Source organism: Homo sapiens, chromosome 10, assembly GCF_000001405.40.
Source record: "Homo sapiens chromosome 10, GRCh38.p14 Primary Assembly".
Classification (NCBI taxonomy): Eukaryota; Metazoa; Chordata; class Mammalia; order Primates; family Hominidae; genus Homo; species Homo sapiens.
This window is the reverse complement of record NC_000010.11, coordinates 49988139-50011994: the sequence shown is the minus strand read 5'-3', so window position 1 is coordinate 50011994 and position 23856 is coordinate 49988139. Positions and strand designations below refer to the sequence as shown.

Here is a 23856-nt window from a genome sequence, read left to right as displayed (position 1 = left end):
TTCATTCTGTAGCTCTATATCAGATTCATGCTCTAGTCCTGTATATCCAAATGATGACTACAGGCTGCCGGCTCTGCTCTTTCAAAGGCACAATGAGCGTAGCCCGTCTACAAAACTCTCCCTTTTCCAATCCAGCTTTCCCTCCTGCATCACCTATCTCTCTACATCTGGAACCATCGGCAGCTGCCTTCATAAGGCACCTCGGTCTGGCATTCGGAAAACAACCCTGTCTTGCCAGAGCCGCTTGGTCTTGGGTAGCAAAAGCTGTATGCGATCTAAATCAAGCTTTCAATCATGAGAAATCACATTCCTTCTTTTCCCTTTGTAATATACTCATGTGTTGTTTTTTTTTTTCCTTTCTCAATCAGCAAATTGTACCACCATCTTATTCTGAGATGCTCCTTTTTAAAAGCTGTAGATCACATTAATGGAAGTGTTTACTGCTGGGAATATTTTCCATGTGCAGTGATCTGTAACCCTCTTTTTCTTTTCTTTGAGACCGAGTCTCGCTCTGTTGCCCAGGCTGGAGTGCAGTGGCACAATCTCTGCTCACTGCAAGCTTTGCCTCCTGAGTTCATGCCATTCTCCTGCCTCAGCCTCCCAAGTAGCTGGGACTACAGGTGCCCGCCACCATGCCCAGCTAATTTTTTTTTTTGAGATGGAGTCTCGTTTGGTCGCCCAGGCTGGAGTGCAGTGGTGCAATCTCAGCTCATTGCAAGCTCCGCCTCCTGGGTTCACGCCATTCTCCTGCCTCAGCCTTCCAAGTAGCTGGGACTACAGGTGCCCGCCACCACACCTGGCTAAGTTTTTTTTTTGTATTTTTAGCAGAGACGGGGTTTCACCATGTTAGCCAGAATGGTATTGATCTCCTGACCTTGTGATCCGCCTGCCTCGGCCTCCCAAAGTGCTGGGATTACAGGTGTGAGCCACCACGCCCGGCCATGCCCAGCTAATTTTTTGTATTTTTTAGTAGAGATGGGGTTTCATGATGTTAGCCAGGATGGTCTCAATCTCCTGACCTGGTGATCAGTCCGCCTAGGCCTCCCAAAGTGCTAGGATTACAGGTGTGAGCCGCTGCGCCCAGCCAATCTGTAACCCTCTTATCTCAACTAACTGACATTATTACTTCACATCCAGTTCAATTTATAAATTAAGAGAGGTGCCATGGGCTGGGCACGGTGGCTCACGCTTGTAATCCCAACACTTTGGGAGGCCGAGGCAGGTGGATCACGAGGTCAGGAGTTCGAGACCATCCTGGCTAACATGGTGAAACCACGTCTCTACTAAAAATACAAAAAATTAGCCAGGTGTGGTGGCAGGCACCTGTAGTCCCAGCTACCTGAGAGGCTGAGGCAGGAGAATGGTGTGAATCCGGGAGGCAGAGCTTGCAGTGAGCAGATATCACGCCACTGCACTCCAGCTGGGGTGACAGAGCAAAACATCGTCCAAAAAAAATAAAAATAAAAATGAAAAAGAGGTGCCATGTGTACAAAAATCAATGCATATTTATGAACTTTATTTCAAATATGTTTTCACACATTTTATCTAAATACATAATACAGAAGCCTGTGTGACTTGGGCAATGTGGCCAGGAGGGCCTGAGACTAACAAATCCACCTTGGCAGAAGGACATAAAATACGTCTTATGGTCAGAAAAATCAACATTTTGTGTATTTACTTAGTTTACGAAAAGTACTGAAAATGCTAATATTAGCTGAATTTGTGATTTCCTTTTGAAATTCTGAGTTATCCTTATTTTTCCCATTTTGTTTTTGCACCAAGGAGACTGCAGTCAAATAAAACAGATACTACACACACTCGTCGGGGCAGCCGTACTGCAGAAGCACGTTGATGCACTCCTGGCTGGAGGCCTGCCGGGCGTAGGTCAGCGCTGTGTTCCCGTGGGCATCTCGGGCCATGACGTCCACCCCGTACCAGATCAGGAGCTGCGCCAGGACCACATTCCCCTTGCGGCAGGCCAGATGGAGCGCCGTGCAGCCGTCTCCCTCCCCACAGGTCTCGTTCACCTCCTCACAGGAGCCATGTGCCAGCAGCAGGATGGCTGTCTGCAGGTCCTCATCAGCGGTGGCCCGCAGCAGCTGCTGGCCCAGGGACAGCTCAGTGCAGGGTAGTGGGGCCAGAAAGAGCTTCTCCTCATATTTGGAACGGATCCACCGTTCCTTCTCTTCCCTCGTGGACTTTTCTGAGGGTTTTGTCTGCCCCTGGCTGCTCCCTTCCCAGATGCTGTTGGCTAGGTCATTGACAATAGATGACATAACCTTCCTGAGCTCAACTGGCCAGTCATCCAGCTCCAGAGATCGCACACGGGAAAGGTGGGGGCCAAGACTGCGGTGGATACCTGAGCATTCAATACACATGAGGACTCCCAAGTTCAAACTGGCCCACTTAGGATTCTGGGTCTCACAGTCCACACAGTGGGCGTTCCCACGCATGTTTTGGATCGACTGCAGGGCCATGGCCTCGCTCTGGCTGGTCAGCTGGGACTTGCTTTTACTGCTCTCGCATGACTGCAGGCTGGCCAGGATCTGGCTCTGGATGGCTTGGACCCAGGCATCCCGCTCCTCATACGTCGTGGCTTCAAAGTGCCACGTTTGGCCAGTGGCAGACACAATCATAAAGTTGTTGGTGCTTTTCTTCTTTAGGTGTTTCTTTTTATTAGCATGAGGAGAGGGGGGCGGGTTGAGCTTGGGGCTGGTGGTGCTGGAGATACTGGGGCTGAAGCATATGGAGTCACCCAGCCCGGTGTCCATGTCCTTGGATAGGCCATTGCTTTTAGAGCTGGAGATGGGTGTGCAGGCCGATGTGGCTAGGGATGGCCACTTTCCTGGGACTTTGATGGTAGATGTCTGAAGGTCAATCTCTTTTTTATGAATATTCTTCATATAATCACCTAAGCTTGAATAATAGGTGAGCATGCCATTGGAACACAGGGTGACGTATTTCTTTTTCCATGTCTTCAGCCATTTCCCACTTCGCTTTAAGAGCATGCCCTGTTTAATGGGGATGGCTCTACCGCTCCCGATGGTGTCAGCATGATTCTCCGGGGCTTTCCTCTCTTTGTCTGGGTCACTCCCTTTCTCAGATGTAAACAGGTTGGACCAGCGCATGGACCGCTTGCAAACGGGCGTGGGTGTGTTGGCAGTGGGAGGAACACTGAACTGAGGGTCCTCCTGGCTGGTGCTGGGAGTCGATGGAATGGAGGAGGAATAGTTATTTAAACTCCCACCTCCATTTCTTTTCTTCATAATGTGCACGGTGGAAACCTGTGTGGAACAGGAGGAGGAATGGCTTCAAAAATTGGGTAGTGGCTTGCAGGGTCCTATAGACAGCTCACAATTACCTTTTAAAAAGATACATTTTCTGGGCCAGGCATGGTGGCTCACACCTGTAATCACAGCACTTTGGGAGGCCAAGGTGGGTGGATCACGAGGTCAGGAGTTCAAGACCATCCTGGCCAACATGGTGAAACCCTGTCTTTACAAAAAAAAAAAAGAAAAAAAAATTAGCTGGGCATGGTGGCACATGCCTGTAATTCCAGTTACTCAGGAGGCTGAGGCAGGAGAATTGCTTGAACAGGGACCTGGGAGGCAGAGCCTGCAGTGAACCAAGATCGCGCGATTGCACTCCAGCCTGGGCTACAGAAAGAGAGTCCATAAAAAAAAAAAAAAAAAAAAAGATACATCTTCTGTTGTTTGGATAGTATATTTACTCATACTAGCTCACTAACTAAACAGAGCTGCAGATCAGTTCTTACTCCAGCACATTCTTTTTACAACACTTAAGATGACTAAATGCAACATGAAATGGGGAAGATTTAAAAAAAGATGGCTTTGACTTCAGCATGAAACAGATACAAGTGTATGATGAAAATACAACCTCAATAAAAGTGCCACTTACCGCAAATGAGTGTAACTGTTCATCAGGTATGCTCAAAGTTCTATCTGCATCTCTATAAAATAAGAAAGCGCATTACTTCAAAAACTGTTAATATCTTAGTATAATATTTGTTTAGTAAAATACTGCCTCCTGTGTGCTTTGGTGTTTACTTTACCAAAGCAGTTTTTATGAATTCTTCTATTGGATCCTGACTTGCAGAGGGTTTCCTGACTTCTTCTTTCTCAGCACATCATGGCCTGTATCGTGAAGTCTTTTATATGATAACCAGTCAGAAATGCCCGTGAGTATTGACTCTCCCTAACAGGCCATGGCAATAAACCAAACATATTTTCACTCTTCTAACCACACATTGAAACACAAGAATGTTCTACAAAGCAGTAGTAGTAAACTTTAATAAATGTAAATGTGATTCAGATTTCCTAGCTTCCTTTCTCTTTAGTTCTCTGTAGTATACTCTCATGATGTATTTATGTACTTTCTGTTGTTTGAATGACAAACTCATCTGCCTTTTTAAGAGGCCAGTCTTTGATGAACTTTAAACTTTGTAAAACTAATGCATTGTGCCTGTGTATAAACCAGTGGTTCTCCAAATGTGCTGTGTGGACCTCTCGGGATCCCGAAGACCCCTTCCAGAAGGCCTAAGAGGTCATAACTGTTCTTTTTTTTTTTTTTTTTTTTTTTTTTGAGACCAAGTTTTACTCTTGTTGCCCAGGCTGGAGTGCAATGGTGTGATCTCGGCTCATGGCAACCTTCGCCTCCCAGGTTCAAGTGATTCTCCTACCCCAGCCTCCCAAGTAGCAGGGATTACAGGCACCTGCCACCACTCCTGGCTAAGTTTTGTATTTTTAGTAGAGATGTGGTTTCACCATGTTGGCCAGGCTGGTCTTGAACTCCTAACCTCAGGTAATCCGCTTGCCTCAGCCTCCCAAAGTGCTGGGATTACAGGCCTGAGCCACTGTGCCTGGCCAACACTGTTCTGAATCATACTAATTAAACCTGAGAAAGCTGATGAAAAATTTTAAAAATTTGTGAAAGTAATACAAAGTCATTGCCTGCTTTTTCATTGACACTTGCCATGATTATATAAAAGCAAAAGTGGGTACAATGGCTGGTTTCTCAGCATAAATCAAGGCAGTGGTACCAATTACATTAGTAGTCATTCTATTCTTCACTGTCCCCTACAGGTAAAAAACATAGCCTGAATTTCGTAAGAACGTCTTTGATGAAGCAGTAAAAATTAATGTTGTTAAATCTTGACATGTCTCTAATATTCTGAATAAGTGGAAAGTTAACCAGAAGCGCTTTTTTTTTTGTTTTTAAAGAATCCGTGATTTAACTGTGAACTGAAAAATCACTTTTTTCACAGAACATCATTTTTATTTAAAAGTACAACTGGGCCAGCGCAGTGGCTCACGCCTGTAAAATCCCAGCACTTTGAGAGGCCAAAGCAGGCAGATGGCTTGAGCTCCTTCGGGAGTTCGAGACCAGCCTAGGCAACATAACGAAACCCTGTCACTGTCAAACATATAAGAAAATTAGCCTGGCATGGTGCCACACATCTGTGGTCCCAGCTACAAAGGAGCCTGAGGTGAGAGGATTGCTTGAGCTGAGATCATGCCAATGCACTCCAGCCAAGTGACAGAGTGAAACTCGGTCTAAAAAACCAGTTCAACTATCATTCTCAAAAATAAATGAAGTGAGAGGTTGTCACTTCAAGGGAAATACGTATTTGTTCCCAATGATAAAATTTAAGCTTTCCTCTGGACTTTGAAAAACTTGTTCCTTCTACTGTAGGCTTGGCAGCTTTTCAATACTTAAAGGCGTGTTAAAGTAAGATTGGTGGTTCAACTAAAAGTGATTTTTGACACAATAAAACATAAACCAATATATTCCAAGTAACTAATGCATGATATTATAAATACAAGTATGGAGCAAAAGATCCATTTACTGTGCAAGAAAGATCAATGAGTACTGATGGAATAAATTTATTAATATGTAAAATGCCACCGTAACTAATTTAAGAAACCACCACTTGTGAAGTTTTGATTTAGTGTTAACAAATACCCACAACTGTCTGAAAACTTTAAAAATACACCTTCTACCAACTACATATTTGCATGAGGTTAGGTCATCTTATTGCTTCTTTTTTCTTTTTTTGAGACAGAGTCTCTCTCTGTCACCCAGGCTGGGGTGCAATGGCGAGATCTCGGCTCACTGCAACCTCCACCTCCCAGGCTCAAGCGATTCTCCTGCCTCAGCCTCCCAAGTAACTGGGACTACAGGCATGCACCACCACGCCCAGCCATTTTTTGTACTTTCAGTAGAGGCGGGTTTTACCATGTTGGTCGGGCTGGTCTCAAACTCCTGACCTCAAGTGATCCACCCACCTCGGCCTCCCAAAATGCTGGGATTACAGATGTGAACCACTGCGCCCCACCAGCTTATTGCTTTTTTTGTTTGTTTGTTTAGACAGAGTCTTGCTCTGTCACCCAGGCTGCAGTGCAATGGCACCATCTCAGCTCTCTGCAACCTCCGCCTCCCAAGTTCAAGCGGTTCTCCTGCCTCAGCCTCCAGAATAGGTGGGACTACAGGTGCGTGCCACCACGCCCAGCTAAGTTTTTGTATTTTTAGTAGAGACGGGGTTTTGCCGTGTTAGCCAGGATGGTCTCGATCTCCTGACCTTGTGATCCGCCTGCCTCAGCCTCCCAAAGTGCTGGGATTACAGGCGTGAGCCACCGTGCCCAGCCTCTTATTGCTTCTTTAAAGCAAATTGCAAAGAAAGCTCTAGAGAATCCATTTGTCTCCTATTAAGCTCAACATGAGAGACTTCAAATAATATAAATACATGACGCACTTTTTACTCAACTTTTTGTTGTAGAAAAGTTATTTTTCAATGAAAAATTTCTGTTAACAATACTGTTCTCAAGGAATATTTTCTGTTGTTATAACCTGGGTCATGGGTTACTACTGACATCTAGTTGGTAGAGGCCATGAATACCGCTAAACTCTCTGCAATGCACAAGACAGTCCTCACAACAAAGCATTATCTAGCCCATAATATCAACAGTGGTAAGGCTGTGAAATCTAAACTAAAAACAGATTTTGAAAAAATTTCAACTGTATAATTCTACCACACTAAATATCAATATAATCAATATAAACACATACTCTTTGAGATTCTCAGTCATTTAAGAATTATGAGAGTCTTAAGGAACAAAGAAAATACAAATAATTTGCTTCGATATTTTAGTAGGCACAATACAGCTTATGATGTCTAGAGCTGTGACCTAACACTGAGCTTGATATCTTGCAAAGTAATTAGCTAGAATAACAAGACAGGTTTCTAAAAAGCTCACCTTTGTGTGATATGATGAGGTATCTCCAAGGTCACACTGTGGAAGGAAAAAAAATTCATAACAATAGATGTTATCATTTGTTAGGCCTGAAGACATTTTTTAAAAGGGGGGCAGAGGAAACTCTCCTAGCGGCCCTGAAATTCAAATCTTCTAGTTCAGAACAGTACCATAAGGGCACTTTGTTTTCATTTCTTTGTTTTTTACAAAAATATGAGAACCAAAATGCAAGGAAATATGCCGTTAGAAGACGCGTTTCTGTTGGTGATTACAATATATAAATAATAACAGATTTCCCTGTTATATGCTTTTCTACCCATGAAACCTTTCGTCCCATGCGATTTATTTTATGTATTTATTTATTTTTTGACCCAGAGTCTGTCTCTCTTGCTCAGACTGGACTGCAGTGGTGCCATCTTGACTCCTCACAACCTCCACCACCCAGGTTCAAGCGATTCTCATGCCTCAGCCTCCCAAGAAGCTGGGACTACAAGTTTGCGCCACTATGCTCAGATAATTTTTTTTTGGGGGGGTGGGGTGGGTGGAGTTTCGCTCTTGTTGCCCAGGCTGGAGTGCAATGGTGTGATCTCGGCTCACCACAACCTCTGCCTCCCGGGTTCAAGAGATTCTCCTGCCTCAGCCTCCCAAGTGGCTGGGATTACAGGCATGTGCCACCACGCCCAGCTAATTTTGTAGAGTGAGTCTCAAAACAACTGAGGGAAGGCAAATCTCAATTCTACTAATAGGTCTACACAATATTAGCACTTTTTAAAAAGCCTGTAATATTAGCATGTGAGATGGATATGTCTATAGTGCTTCAAGTAGTTTTCATCTCTGAAATAATTTTAAAATCACAGAATTTAAAGTTACATGCTGGAAAGGACCAATGACCTTATGTGACATTTAATTCAACACTCGTTTTACAGATCAGGGAAACAGACCTTAAAACTGACTTGCCCAAGGTCCCACCAAATAGGAGCAGTTTCTCGTCCTAAACTCAAATTAAGCAGTGGCTCTCAAACTTTGCTGCACATTAAAATCGCCTGAGAAGCTTTAATATCTGCCTCATCTTCAACATGAGACATTTTAATTTAATTAGTATTGGGTATGGCTTTGGGCATCAAGGTTCTTGGTAAACGTTTCCCAGGTGATTTCAATCAGCAGCAAAGTTTGGAATGACTGAGCTGGGGTGAAAATCAGAATCTTCTGGGATGCTTTTCTTCACAGAAAGATGCCTCACATCCATCCCGATTTTCCTAAAAGGCTTCTCAGTGCCTAGAGACAGAGGGAAAGTGGAGATGGGAAGATACATGTGTTTGCAGACTTGTATTTTGAAAAAAACCTTGCATAAGTGATCTCAGCGAGTTCCACCTATCCCACTGACAACAGTGCACTACTGATTCATGATAAAACATTTTTCAAAATATCTTCTTGAAGCCAATTTGCCCTATTAATTTGTTCAATAACTTTATTTCACCAATAGTGAATACACCAAATGATCATTTCTCAAACTTGCTGGTGGCAAATTAAAACTTACTATACTCTCAAAAGTAGACTTCTAAAAAGTAGAATAATGAGGAAAAAAGCACGAAATTTGTTTCAGCAAAATTAATCTTCAAAGCTGCTTTTGAATTATATGCTAACATATCAAAATCTTTGGAACTCAGAAGAAGCCAGGGACTCTAGTCAAAGTAATTTTTGTGTATGTGTGCTCAAAGATTTAAGAGACTTAGCTGACTACAGACATTTAGTGATTACTCAATAGGTCCCAAAGCTCAGGACTTGAGACAGAGTTTGAGTCCAGTTTTTGTTCGAAACACAATTTCCTCTCAACTATTGTTAAAAGGGAGGGAGGAAAGTGACATTATTATGAGTGTAAACTTTCCACTTTTAATTGAAGTAAAAGTTATTGACAATTGAATTAGTTAAAAAGGCTAGTGCATTTGAAACAAAATTGTTTATAAGCTAGTTATGTGTACAGAATGAAAAGTTAAATTAAAGATAAAGACATTAATATTCTAAATTAGCACTTTCCAAACTGTGTTCTAAAAATCAAGACTAATAACCCAAGAAGATGAGAATAATGTACACTGGACAGCCCCTGTGGAGCTGGTGGTGGTGTTGGTTGTTGTTCCTTTTAAAATAAACTTCATCTCAGGGTGCTCTCAAAGCGCATCTTTGTGGCCCATGAGGTGCTCATGCACAATGGGAGAAATTCAAATGCAGATACACTGTGGTGCCAGAAGAAGAAAAGCTGTTCCTTCTTCCAAGGATAATGTCCAAAGTAGTGCACACTGATTTAGGCCTATGATGCATTGAAAAACTAAGTTTCCACAAAAAACATTCAATAAAGGGAACCTATCCTTCTCACTGTGTTCAACATTGTCTAAAGGCATAAAGGCATCAAAAAGATACACTGTTTCTGGGATTGCTTCTTTGCTAACTGATTTTTCCTTCCACCACGACGTCTAAGATTAAAAGAGAAACTGATACTTAATATTCAGAATCTGGATATCAATATATGGTTGACTCCAATTTCTTAAACTGATTGCTGAAAAGGACAACCAAATGACTGAAATAATTTTAGAATAAAGGAATCTGTCCCTCGGCAGCATAGTTGTACTCACGATATTATTGTCATTGTAAGATAATGCTGGATGGCTGTGCTGTCATCAAGGAATATTGTCGAACACAAGCTGTATTGTTGACTGAAACGCACAGCAGATACCTGAAGGGGAAGGGAACTGTAAGTCAAACTTATCAAAGTGTATTATTTTCTCAGTTAAAATGTCAAATGACAAAGCACTAAGATATGTCTTACACTCCATGAACTGCCTGAGTGTGGTATCATGTGCACTCTATAGAAAACCCATTGGAGGCTCTCAACTTCCAGAGATGATGTTTAAGATATGGGTTATAAAATGCTGCCCTTAATATGGTACCTGTCATCAAACCTAACAAGGATTTTATGAATTACCGTTAAAAATAATGGGAAAAGTCGGCTTCGCGGGGCGCGGTGGCTCACACCTGTAATCCTAGCACTTTGGGAGGTGGAGGCGGGCGGATCACGAGGTCAAGAGATCGAGACCATCCTGGCTAACATGGTGAAACCCCGTCTCTACTAAAAATACAAAAAATTAGCCGGGCGTGGTAGCAGGCCCCTGTAGTCCCAGCTACTTGAGAGGCTGAAACAGGAGAATGGGGTGAACCCAGGAGGCGGAGCTTGCAGTGAGCCGAGTTCGCGCCACTGCACTCCAGGCCGGCAGACAAAGTGAGACTCCGTCTCAAAAAAAAAAAAAAAAGAAAAGTTTAAAATAAGATTTCATTTTTTTTCTGCAGCAATAAAAAGCAGCTGAGAATTTCTATTAATTAATTAATTAATTTATTTATTTTTGAGACGGAGTCTCGCTCTGTCGCCCAGGCTGGAGTGCAGTGGTGCAATCTCGGCTCACTGCAAGCTCCGCCTCCCGGGTTCACGCCATTCTCCTGACTCAGCCTCCTGAGTAGCTGGGACTACAGGCGCCCACCACCATGCCCGGCTAACTTTTTGTATTTTTAGTAGAGACGGGGTTTCACCGTGTTAGCCAGGATGGTCTCGATCTCCTCACCTCGCGATCTGCCTGCCTCAGCCTCCCAAAGTACTGGGATTACAGGCGTAAGCCACGGCGCCCAGCCCTTCTATTATTTATTTACTACGATAAAATGTAATGTATTAAATAATCCTGCTACAAGAGCATTTTATTGCAGTGAATACAAGACTAATGCATTTACTAAATTACTAATCCTAAATGTATTATTTCAGGTGATATTGTTACAAAAGAAGTGTTTCAGATTCAGAGGCTCTGTGTGCCAGGGCTGCTAGGCCACCAACAAGTGAGGAAGCCATAGGTTTCTCTAGTCCTATTTTCTTATGTGGAGGATAAAAAGAGTATCACTTAAATATTCTCTCACACCCTGAAAACAAATGACAACTTAAAAAATCTAACTTTCACTTCATGTTTAAATAAGACTGCCAAGACATGACTCAAATGAGACTCTCGGAGAATACTTTGCATTCACTTCAAAACTTGATCAATTGCATTCTATAAATCATCTGACCTGCACCTAGCCATTTTCCTGCTCTACCCCTGCTCTCTGCCTAGAATACTGCTTTTCTCTTTCCTTGCTTCAGCAAGCTCGACTCCATCTACCCTCTTGGATCTCTTTGTCGGCAGCCACACCAAAAAATGTATTTTTATACACTAATTAGTTGAATTCACCACTGCTTACAAGATGCTAATTCCTGCAGAGTATTCCCCTTGTGAGAAAGTATGCCTCTCCATAAGAGTAAGGGAGGGCCCTTACTCTTCCTACCTCCAGCTGCTGAGCATAGAATTTTGAGTAAATCCAAAACTTCGACAAGTGTTTGACAATTCAGTTATCATTTGGAAGGTAAGTCTTACTACATTTAATTACAGCAAAAACACTACTAACAGTTTACTCTTTATAGGTATTATTTAAGGTAGTCACAAAATAGAAACAAATACTCTAACGTCAGGCAGCATAAATGAGAGTATGAAATTTTACAATATTTAACAAGAAATGGAAGGGGTTACTTAGTAGTTTTAAGGTTTAATGACAAAAACTAGAAAATAATCGTACCTAGTAATTTAGTAAGTCAAAACCAAAGCCTTACCATCAAAGGTGCAGTACCCATTGGATGCGGATGCCCACGCACTGACTTCTTCTGCTGTACCTGCTGCCTCTCATTTTAACCCATTAAAAATACTAAAGTTGTTTTCCTTGTAGACATCCTTCACCTCCTTGGTTAGGTCTATTCCGAAGTATTTTATTTTAGTTTAGTTTATTTTTGCAGCTATCAGAAAAGGGGTTGAGTTCTTGGTTTGATTCTAAGCTTGGTCGCTTCTGGGGTATAACAGAGCTACTGATTTGTGTACATTAATTTTGTCTCCTGAAACTTTGCTGAATTCATTTATCGGTTCTAGGAGCTTTTTGGAGGAGTCTTTAGGGTTTCCTAGGTATATGATCATATCATCATCAAACAGCAACAGTTTGACTTCCTCTTTACTGATCTGCATGCCTTTTATTGTTTTCTCTTGTGTGATTGCTCTGGCTAGGCCTTCCAGTAGTATGTTGAATACAAGTGGTGAGAGTGGGCATCCTTGTCTTGTTCCAGTTCTCGGGGGGAATGCTTTCAACTTTTCCCCCTTTCAGTATTATGTTGGTTGTGGGTTTGTCATAGATGGCTTTTCTTATATTGAGCTGTGACCCTTCTATGCTGATTTTGCTGAGGGTTTTAATCATAAAAGGATGCTGCATTTTGTCAAATGCTTTTTCTGCATCTGTTTAGATGATCATGTGATTTTTTGTTTTTAATTCTGTTTATGTGGTGTATCACATTTATTGACTTGTGTATGTTAATCCATCCCTGCATCCCTGGTATGAAACCCATTTGATCATGGTGGATTATCTTTTTTTTTTTTTGAGATGGAGTCTCGCTCTGTTGCCCAGGCTGGAGTATGCAGTGCGGTGATCTTGGCTCACTGCAACCTCTGCCTCCGAGGTTCAAGCGATTCTCCTGCCTCAGCCACCTGAGTAGATGGGATTACAGGTGAGCGCCACCACACCCGGCTAACTTTTGTATTTTTAGTAGAGATGGGATTTCACCATGTTGGCCAGGCTGGTCTCGAACTCCTGACCTCATGATCCGTCTCCCGCTCCTGACCTCATGATCCGTCTCCCTCAGCCTCCCAAAGTGCTGGGATTACAGGTGTGAGCCACCGTGCCTGGCCGGATTATTTTTTGATATGCCGTTGGGAACTACAAAACGTTGCTGAATGAAGTCATGGACACAAACAAATGGAAAGACACCCCATGCTCATGAATGGGTAGAATGAATATTGTGAAAATGACCATACTGCCAAAAGCAATCTACAAATTCAATGCAACTCCCATCAAAATAACACCATCCTTCTTCACAGAACTAGAAAAAACAATCCTGAAATTTATATGGACCAAACAAGAACCGGCATAGCCAAAACAAAACTAAGAAAAAACAACAAATCTGGAGGCATGACATTACCTGATTTCAAACTATACTATAAGGCCATAGTCGCCAAAATAGCATGGTACTGATATAAAAATAGGCACATACACCAATGGAACAGAATAGAGAACCCAGAAATAAACTCAAATACCTATAGCCAACTGATTTTCAACAAAGCCACCTAAAACATAAAGTGAAGAAAGTAAACCCTATTCAACAAATGGTGCTGGGATAATTGGCAAACCACATGCGGGAGAATGAAACTGGATCCTCAACTCTCACCTTACACAAAAATCAACTCAAGATGGATCAAGGACATAAATCTATGACCTGAAACCATAAAAGTTCTAGAAGATAACATTGGAAAAACCCGTCTAGACGCTGGCTTAGGCAAAGACTTCATGACCAAGAACACAAAAGCAAATGCAACAGAAACAAATAGGTGAGACTTAACTAAAGAGCTTCTGCACAGGAAAAGGAACAATCAGCAGAGTATACAGACAACCACAGAGTGGGAGGAAATCTTCACAGTCTATACATCTGACAAAGGGCTATTATCCAGAATCTATGAGGAACTCAAACAAATTACAATTACAAAAATATGGAACCAGCCCAAATGCCCATCAATCAATGAGTGGATAAAGAAACCGTGATATACATACATATATATATATATATATATATATGAGGAATTCCACCTCAGCCATAATAAGGAATAAATTCATGGCATTCCCAGCAACCTGGATGGAAGTAAGACTATTATTCTAAGTGAAATAACTCAGCATGGAAAACCAAATATCATGTTCTCTTTCATACGTGGGAGCTGAGCTATGAGGATGCAAAGCCATAAGAATGATACAATGGACTTTGGGGACTTGGGGGAAAGGCTGGGAGGAGGGTGAGGGATAAAAGACTACAAATTGGGTTCAGCGGATACTGCTCAGGTGATGGGTGCACCTAAATCTCACAAATCATCACTAAAGAACTTAGGCATGTCACCAAATGCCACCTGTTCCCCCAGAAACCTATGGAAATAATAAATAAATAAATAAAAGTACAGCATTTTTCTCAGCAAACATAAAATAAAACAAAGACTAAAGTTCATATTTTTCACTCTCCTTTTGGGCAGGACAAATTTTAGATAGGTTTTTAAAGAATTAGTAACTTTTTTCCTTTTTCCGAGACAGGGTCTCCCTTTGTTGCCCAGGCTGGAGTGCAGTGGTGCAATTATAGTTAACTGCAGCCTCAAACTCCTGAGCTCAAGTGATCCTCTGCCTCAGCCTCCTGAGTAGGTAATACGAAAGGCGCATGCCACCAGGCCTGGCTAATTTGTTATTTAACCTTTTTGTAGACATGAGCTCTTGCTATGTTGACCAGGCTAAAAATGAACAAATCTTATTTAACTTAAATATTTCTAACACTTTGGGCATTCAGGAAAACAGCTCCATCTATGTTGTGAAGTAATGGGAAGTATATGGCAGTGGATAAACTTTGAATGAAAATATTAAACAAGGCCTTAGGAGAAAAGTGTAATATGCTTATTATAGATACATTAATTTAAAAAATTCTCTGGCTTAATATCATTAATTATACTCAAATTAGACTTTGATTTAAACACAGGTCCTAAATTTGGATTAAATATAATAGATTGACCACAAATTTATTTCGTCTCCCTCCGGAAGCCTCATCAGTCATAAAATAAAGGTTACACCCATGACCAGCACAGAAGGTTGACAGAGATAATTTTTAATAAATGCTGAGACATAAAAAGTAGATAAAGGAGTGGTAAATAACACAGAAACACAACTTTGGTGCCTACAGAAAGTGACTGGAACACAAGTGAGCCAGTTTGTCTTGCAGAACTAAAGGCAGGTTGTGAACTTACAGGCCAATGGCACTTTGGAAAGTAGGGTAAAATGTGAAAAAAAAAAAAAAAAGCCAGCAAGGTCAGTTGCAAATCTCTAACTAGAGCCCCAAGTCCACCTGTCCTTCCATCTGACAAGAAACTTAGATGTGTGTTCTCTGGATATATCAAACCTGAGAATTTCTGGCTCAGAGATACCATGGCTTAAACCTGAGATATAAAGAAAACTGTACACCAAAAATGGAACTCCAACTTTCTTCGCTAACTCTGCTTTTCCTTTCCAGGCCTGCTTTTACTTTCCAGGCAGAAAATTGGGAGATCCTTCTCAGAAGAAACTGAAATGTCTTCAATAAAGATCCCCAGATAATACACTGAGGTCTCCCAAATGAAAAGCTAGTCAGGCTTCTAAGGCCTCACACTGATGCTATCAGTTAACAGAAATCCTGCTTCCAAATAAAGCAGGCCAGGGACCACCACACATTGGAAGGAAGCCTCCAAGAAAAGAGATCAAAACAATAGAAAAAAGGAATTGATAGGACCAGTCAAAATCAGGAGCAAAACTTTAAAAAAAAATCTTAAAACACTCCAAAAATTACAAAATTCAATAGAAATAGTAGAGGATAAAGTCACAGAATATCCCAGAACTAGAATAAAAAGACAAACTGAAAAAAATAGAAGGGGAAAAATTAAAAATCAATGCAGGCATACTGGTCTAAGCAGCCTAGCATCTGAATAACAAGACTATCAGTAAAAAAGTAACAGAGAAAATAAAAAAAAATTCTCAAGAAGAGATAGTCTGCAGGTTTAGTAGCCTCAATAAAATGAAAAGATCCCCAACAAGCTGTTATAAAATTTCAGAACCTTAGAGAGAGAGATTCTAAAAAGCTTCCGCAGATAACTAAAACCTGGTTGTAAATAACGTATCACACACTGGCAATAGATTCAAGAACAACACTGTAATAAGAGCACAGCTGCAAAATGTCTTCAGAACCATAAAATTTAGATTCAACCTAGAGGTGTACTCTCTATCAAAGAGGAGGGATTTTAACATCTCCACCCAGGAAAATGTGTTCAACTACAACTAGAGATGATAACAGGACAGAAGGAAACACAGAATCTAGGACTCAGGCGATCCCACACAAGACAGCAGTTACGTGAGATCCCAAAAGACTTTAAGGAGTTAGCCCAGAAAAGCAGACATCGAGCATATCTAGGGAAACCCACGCTATATTGAACTAGGATGACAAAAGGCCAAAGAAAGTTGCCCCACACACACACATAAAAAGAAACAGATGTGCTTTTGCAGATGGAAAATATCTTTGAAAGGCATGTGATAAATGCTACAATACTTGGGGGAAAAACAGCTGTTAGAAAATAGGCAAATGAATATAGTCAGAAAATTAGCTTCATGCTAAAAAATAATGGATGTGAAAGCAAACAGAGCACCCAGAGGCTACTTAACAATATTTGGATAGATAAACTAACGTAGGCTAGGAAAAAAGAAGATCCAGGAGAATTGCAGAAGTGCTCAGATTTCAGAACTGTTTCAGAGACAGGATGAAGGACATGGAATGCAGAGACACAGTGAAAACACCATATGACTTAGCAGTGAATAATATTTGCAGAGTCATAATCATGTAAATATTACTGATTTAATTAAAAAGTGTGCTACAATTGGAAGAAACACAGGGAGAAACATAAGATCATGGTGTAGCGGGGAAGGTATGCTTTTACCTGCTGTGATAGAAAGTCAATAGACAGTGCTGGCAATTAACTTAACTATTCTATTTTTGTTCTTTCATTAAAAATAAGATTAAATATTTCAGGCACTTTTTTTTTTTTTTTTTTTTTTGAGACAGAGTTTCGCTCTGTTGCCCAGGCTGGAGTGCAATGGCGCGATCTTGGCTCACTGCAACCTCCGCCTCCTGGGTTCAAGTGATTCTCCTGCCTCAGCCTCCTGAGTAGCTGAGATTACAGGCATGCACCACCACGCCCGGCTACTTTTGTATTTTTAGTAGATACAGAATTTCACCATGTTGGTCAGGGTTGTCTCAAACTCCTGACCTCAGATGATCAGCCTGCCTCGGCCTCCTAAAGTGTTGTGATTACAGACGTTAGCCACCATGCCCAGCCGTAAGGCAGATCTTTTGAACCAGACTATTGAAATTTAACTTAAATGTCAGAAATCTTTAAAAGGTGGACACGCTAAACTAAACACTTTTCTGGATAAATTTAATACTCAGGAAAATAGAAGAGATTTAGAAAATCCACAAAAAGAGGTCCATGCTACCACCACCAGGTCCACATTGTAATTTAAAGAAATCAAGAGAGACATCCTTTTATGTCAAACTATCAATTTCTTAAGTATTTGAGTGTTTACTTACATGGTTTGTACAGTTGCTTCTTCTTATTTCTACAACTAAGAATAAAAAAAAAAAACTGGTCACTTCTGATACAAATACCATAAAATAAAAGTAGTTGTTAACATCTTACTGATTACTCCTACGTAAAATGAGACAAAATTCCATTTAAAAAATAATTTTCAATAATTTATAATTTAAATTATCTGGCATGATTAATTTCATAAGTCAAATCTAAAAACTTAGCTTTTCATTTAGTTTACTTTTTGTTTCTATTACATACAAATGAAAGAATCCTCATGTACAAAAGAAAAGGGTAAAAAAATTAGGCCAGATGAAAAATTTAGCTAATAAAAAGTTTAACTGTTGCATATATGAGCCATGATCCATTAGTATTCTCTCATTCTGCATTTATACATAGCTTACTTTAATTATCAGACTCTAAGAGCTAACAGCTCTAAGAACTACTTCCTGACCAGACACCTATCTCTAGATGCAACAGAATCCCTGTAAGCATCTTGAACCACACTTAGTGGTTATCTACTAATATGTCACTAAAAACAAATCAAAATTAAAAAACGGTCTTTACACAACTGGAAAGTAACATATCTTAATTTTTTTTTTTTTTTTTTTTGAGATGGAGTCTCACTCTGTCACCTAGGCTCGAGTGCAGTGGCGGGATCTCAGCTCACTGCAACCTCTGCCTCCCAGGTTCAACCAATTCTTCAGCCTTAGCCTCCTGATTAGCTGGGAGTACAGGCACATGCCACCATGCCTAGCTAATTGTTTTTTGTATTTTTAGTAGAGACAGAGTTACACTGTGTTAGCCAGGATGGTCTTGATCTCCTAACCTCGTGATCCACCCACCTCAGTCTCCCAAAGAGCTGGGATTACAGGTGTAAGCCACAGAGCCTGGCCTAAATTTTGATGTTTAAAATGAGTATACAAACCTAATTGGACATGGTGTCTGCAGCACAAAAAATCATTTTTTTTTCCTCTAAAAAGAGGCCAGAATAATAAAAGCCCCAAGAGGGACTTGGGCCATGCTTTGCTTCCTACACTGCCTCTGCCTTTGATGCTGGAAGGGCCTTGTAGGCAAAAGCTCCTACCACTGAAGAGTGAGGGACATGGAATAGCTTTTCTTTTACTGCTTCCATGCTCTCTAGGTGTGAGAAGCCCATGCCTCTGGAAGGAACTGGGAAATACAATTCTGATATGTTTTGGATATGTTGCCCCTCCAAGTCTCATGTTAACATGTGACCCTTAATGTTGGAGATAGGGCCTAGTGGGAGGTGTTTGGGTAATGGCAGTGGATTCCTTATGAATGGCTTGGTCCCATCCCCATGGTAATAAGCACATTCTCATTATGGTAATTTAAAAGACTGTGGTACTGGCCAGGTGCGGTGGCTGAAGCCTGTAATCCCAGCACTTTGGGAGGCTGAAGCGGGTAGATCACTTGAGGTCAGGAGTTTCAGACCAGCCTGGCCAACATGGTGAAACCCTGTCTCTACCAAAAATACAGAAATTAGCCAGGTGTTATGGTGCCCACCTATAGTCCCAACTACTCGGGAGGCTGAGGCAGGAGAATTGCTTGAACCTGGGAGATGGAGGTTGTAGTGAGCCAAGATCGTGCCATTGCACTCCAGCCTGGGCAACAGAGTGAGACTCCATATCAAAACAAAAAAAAAAAAGTGTGGTACCTTCCCCCTTCCCCTCTCTCCTCCCTCTTTCACCGTGTGGAACCACCTGCTTCCCCTTTGCCTTTTATCATGATTATAAGTTTGCTGAGGCCCTCACCAGAAGCAGATGTTAAAGCCATGTTTGTACAGCCTGAAAATCTTTGAGCCAGTTAAACATCTTTTTGTTATAAATTACCCAGCCTTAAGTATCTCTTTACAGTAATGTAAAAAATGAAGACAAATTCTAACCAGAAATAACTGACTCAAGATGGGCAAAGTCTACTCAAACTATAAAAACAAAGGTTGCAAACTCCCGTGTTTTACTGTGCTGCATTACTTCGCACATTATTATAGAACCCTCACTTGTATTCTTGCTGTTTAAGTCAACCGGAAAACTTGGCTGTGTATGGCTTGTTGGCAAATAAATGAGGATTTAACATAACATTGAGGGAAATAAGCAGGAGTAGGGCATGTTTAAATTTACATTACATCAAATGAAAAAGTTAATAACCTAAAACTTTTGAGTAGCATGAACTTGGATGTGGTAAATGAATGTGGTCAGAGGACTGTGTAAGAGGAGGCCCAAATCACAGATTCAATCCCTGATGATAAACAACTATGTTTTTTAATTTGTTTAAATGAAAACCAAGCTGAAGCCTAAGTTCTATCATTCATCTTTAAAGTGTACTTTTTGGAGCAAGGGAAAAGGGATTATAAATAAAGATAAATCCATTAATTATAAATAAAGATAAATCCAAGAATTATAAAGAGAAATCCATGACTCCTCCATCACATGACAAATTAATTGTGTTGATAAAAAGATGGCAAAATGTATAAACAAAAAGGTTACACGTTTTCACTAACATCATAACAACTAAAGGAAAGTATATCACATATTAAAATAAGACAAGTGAACATGTGAAAAGGTGAAAAATTTAAACCAATATGAGTTTTTCTAAATACTTTCTATAACCTGATCAAACAAGAGCTTTTATTCTTTCTCTTGGTGGAAAAGACAATGTCGTCTCACCATCTGTTTGAGAGTTCCTCTGGAATATTGTGCTTGCCTCTGGATTGGCAGAAGGGTTAAACTCCAAAGCTATATGCACAGAGGAAGAAAAGAAAAAAAGATGTAATCATTGATAAAAATTTATCAACTCGTTTATTCGACTGCTGCATTTAGGCTATTTCACTATCTCTACTTTGATTCTTATCCATTGAAATGAATGTATAGACATAAGATAGAGCCAGGCAAGATGGCACATGCTTGTAGTCCCAGCTACTCAGGAGGCTGAGATGGGAAAATCACTTGAACCCAGGTCAGGAAGTTGAGGCCAGCAAGAGTAACACAATGACACCCTCCTTTATTAAAAAAAAAAAAAAAAAAAAACAGAAGAGGTAAATTTTGGCTTTGAGTTGTCTAAAATCAACTTTGCATAAAATAAATCAAGATGTCAGTAAGTTTTAAAAGACAGGTCTATTTTATAGGCAAAATATAAGATGTATTCTAGAGTTTTTAAAATTTTTAAAAAGTAAATTCATCGTATCTGTCACTTCCATTTCATTCTGAGGACACAGAACCTTAGTTCTCTTGAGTAGCTGTCTTCCATAGTCATGTGATATCTCTAAGTTTTCATTTCTTCATTAACAATACATAGGGAGAACATACACAGGCCTTATTTCTATTGGAAAGGGCCAAGTGAGACATACATAAACTGTGTTGTAATCCTAAAGAATGACAATAAAGAGCCATTTTTGGGCTCTCATCCAACACTACCCATCTACTAACTGGTGTGTAACATCCATCAGGCTTTCCGAACATCACCAAGCAGAGTATAAGTTTACACAAGTACTTACATGCTTTGTGTATAAAGGTACAATCAATTAATTCACATAATGCATTTGTTTATTCTAAAGCAATCCTTAAATATCTTGAAATGTGAAGATAGTACTTCCAAGTTACAAAGTCACACTCATAATGAGTCTTAATTATCTTACCTCTTTAAAAATTAAGAGCCCGACCAAAGTTTAAATAGAAGAGCTATAAGACATTTCCTCTACAGTAATGAAATCTCTGGCATTTAAATGAAACCAATAAGCCAACTGGATTTAATATGTTTATGATGCAATGTTTTCTATTTTGAAAATTTCAGTTTTTATTCAAGAACCATATTATTACCCAGAATTACTTTTACTTAGATTCATCTCTTTGCAAAATTTTTGAGGCAAACGAACTAATTGTTTTCTCTTTTCTACCGGCTCCCATCCCCTGCCTCTGCCAACAGCATAGAGACTAAAAAACTCCAACTTTCTTTCCTTTTTATTTTTGTGAGACGGAGTCTCGCTCTGTCACCCAGGCTGGAGTGCATTGGCGTGATCTCTGCTCACTGCAACCTCCACCTCCCAGGTCCAAGCAATTCTCCTGCCTCAGCCTTGTGAGTAGCTGGAACTACAGTCATGCGCCACTACGCCCAGCTAATTTTTGTATTTTTTTTTTTAGTAGAGACAGCGTTTCACCATGTTGGCCAGGCTGGTCTCGAACTCCTGACCTCAGGTGATCTGCCTGCCACAGCCTCCCAAAGTGCTGGGATTACAGGCGTGAGCCACCAAGCCCAGCCAAAACTGTAACTTTCTTATCTTTGAACAAGATGCTATTGTCAGGAGGGGAAGGGACAAACGGGGAGCCACGGCAACAAACACTCTTACAGGGAAGGTCTGACATTTTAACCTGCAATCTTTATATTACACATTAAAAGTCTACATTGACGTTTCATGTCTTTTGAAAGTTTTGACCATGAACCAATCCCCACCTCTCTTTTAGAACAAGCAGGTAAATAAAGTCTGTTAAGTCACCAGAATAAATCTGGAGACACATTTTCTGTTAAAGTAAGAATTTTAAAGTAATCAGAGCCTCATAGGTAAACTCCTTTGAGAAACCCCAAACACACACACACAACCATTTTTCTGCAGCCCCGGCTGTGACATTTTACACCTTTCACAATTACTTTAAGCACTCTCCTTTTTTCTTTTTCCTTTTGTGTTCAAATTACAGTTAGAAGAAACTAAGCAGCTTCTATCAAGGTGACTTAAAGCAGCCCATTAAGAATACCATATAGCCTCTCCCGTGGCAACCTCCATTCTGATTTTAAATAAGAAATCCCCAAATATTTGAATAGGAACTGTCCTGAGATTTGGCTACTTTAACAAAGGAAACAATTAGGCACTTACCTGGTTCCTTCACTTAGGTACCATCTGGATAGGTACAAAGAAAAAATAAGATGGGTACTGAAAAGTTGGGATATTTGAGTTTTTACTGAGAAAAGGAAGAGAATAGCTCAAAGAAGCCTAAACAAAGTACCACAGGATAATAAATAGAGCTACAGACACTGTTGTCTCACCTTCTGTTTGAGAGTTCCTCTGGAATATTGTGCTTGACTCTGGATTGGCAGAAAGGTTAAACTCCAAAGCTATATGTATAGAGGGAGAAAAGAAAAAGGATGTAATCATTTATAAAAATTTATCAACTTATTTATTCAACTGCTGCTTATTCGACAAGAGCCATAAATAAATGGTCCCATGCCAGCCTGGGAGAATGAGATGAGAGAGCAAGAACTGGGCGATTGGGAGGGGAGGCGAAAAGAAACTGACTGGACTCGGTGGGGAAAGACTAAGGGGTGGGAATTCAAGGCAGAGCCAGCTTTTGTTCCTGGCCAGCCCCCGGGAAAGCTGGCTACAAGCAGAAAGGAGCTCGAAGTGTGGGATGCCTCAAAGGGAACCATGGGGACAGCAGCAGCCAGAGGCAAACCGAGGGTAGATGGCACCTATCACCTCCTCACCTTCAGGCATCTCCCGGTCACGAACGTGGTGCATGTGGAGGTCCTCACCAACTTCAACAGTCACCTCAGCAGGCTGTACAGCAGCAGCCATGGGCGCTCCTGCCATCCTGTCCCTAGCTCCTGCCTCATAGGTCTCAGATTCAGAGGGACACACCGACCCCTGCTGCTGGTCAAACTCGAGGCTGACGCTAGGGTGCACACGACAGGTCAGTATGTTCCCCATGGGGCGCCTCTACTGTCTGCCACCACCTGTGCCTCTGCTCACAGCTTTGGCCACGCACTCCCGCTGTCCTAGGCCGAGGCTATGCTGCACTTGCAGAGATGGTCTTCCCGCTCCTCGCCTGCCCACCTCACAGCGAGGCCCCGGGCACCAGCCCTGGCCCCGGCCCCGGCTAGGGCTGCGGGCCAAGGCCCGCACCCTGCTGCCTCCCCTGAGTTGACTTGTCTGGGAGGGTGAAGACCAGCCGGCTTATTTAATAGGTTGTGAAACCAACAAGCGCTGAGAGACACAACAACTGCCTGAAGAGAGAACAGACGGAGTTCCTCCTCCTTCTGTAGTCACCTACAGACTGAAGCCCACTGGCCCCAGGTGGGAGCCCAGGCATGTGGCACACAATGCCCCACCCCACACTTCACAATGCCCTCCCCGACAGCTCACAGTGCCCCACCCTGCCTGCCACCCCTCCCCAACAGCTCAGAATGCCCCTGCCTTGGCTGCCCCACCCTGTGGCTTATGATGCTGCTGCTCTCCTGGCCCCTCGTGCAGTGCCATTGGGACTAAGGTTTTCATTCATCACCAG

The 23856-nt window shown here is 41.4% G+C and overlaps 1 protein-coding gene and 1 long non-coding RNA gene across 9 annotated transcripts in view; both read right to left on the bottom strand.

The window, feature by feature from the left end:
- Positions 1 to 1478: 1478 nt before the first annotated feature.
- TIMM23B-AGAP6 (TIMM23B-AGAP6 readthrough (NMD candidate)) overlaps positions 1479 to 23856 on the bottom strand; it is a 68464-nt gene continuing 46086 nt past the window's right edge. For 4 of the 7 annotated variants that reach the window (NR_158657.1, NR_158659.1, NR_158656.1 and 1 more), the window contains 7 exons: positions 22619 to 22687; positions 20251 to 20319; positions 17566 to 17600; positions 9899 to 9999; positions 7275 to 7310; positions 3919 to 3970; positions 1479 to 3284 (listed from right to left, as the gene is read on the bottom strand). This is a non-coding gene — a long non-coding RNA (TIMM23B-AGAP6 readthrough (NMD candidate)). Of the gene's footprint in view, positions 3285 to 3918; positions 3971 to 7274; positions 7311 to 9898; positions 10000 to 17565; positions 17601 to 20250; positions 20320 to 22618; positions 22688 to 23056; positions 23245 to 23856 lie in introns of all 7 variants that reach the window. The other 3 variants (NR_158661.1, NR_158660.1, NR_158658.1) reach the window with 1 other exon arrangement.
- Positions 1496 to 23627, bottom strand: AGAP6 (ArfGAP with GTPase domain, ankyrin repeat and PH domain 6). 2 transcript variants are annotated; one of them, NR_171667.1, is made up of 9 exons: positions 23057 to 23627; positions 22619 to 22687; positions 20251 to 20319; positions 17566 to 17600; positions 9899 to 9999; positions 8213 to 8546; positions 7275 to 7310; positions 3919 to 3970; positions 1496 to 3284 (listed from the first exon to the last, which is right to left on the bottom strand). NR_171667.1 is itself a non-coding variant. In NM_001077665.3 (8 exons), the coding sequence occupies exons 1-8, from the start codon at positions 23277 to 23279 to the stop codon at positions 1809 to 1811; spliced, it is 2061 nt and encodes a 686-aa protein (NP_001071133.2). In that variant the 5' UTR covers positions 23280 to 23589; the 3' UTR covers positions 1496 to 1808. The 2 variants fall into 2 exon arrangements, 1 of the variants encoding a protein (NP_001071133.2); NM_001077665.3 differs by lacking the exon at positions 8213 to 8546 and having other exon boundaries at positions 23057 to 23589.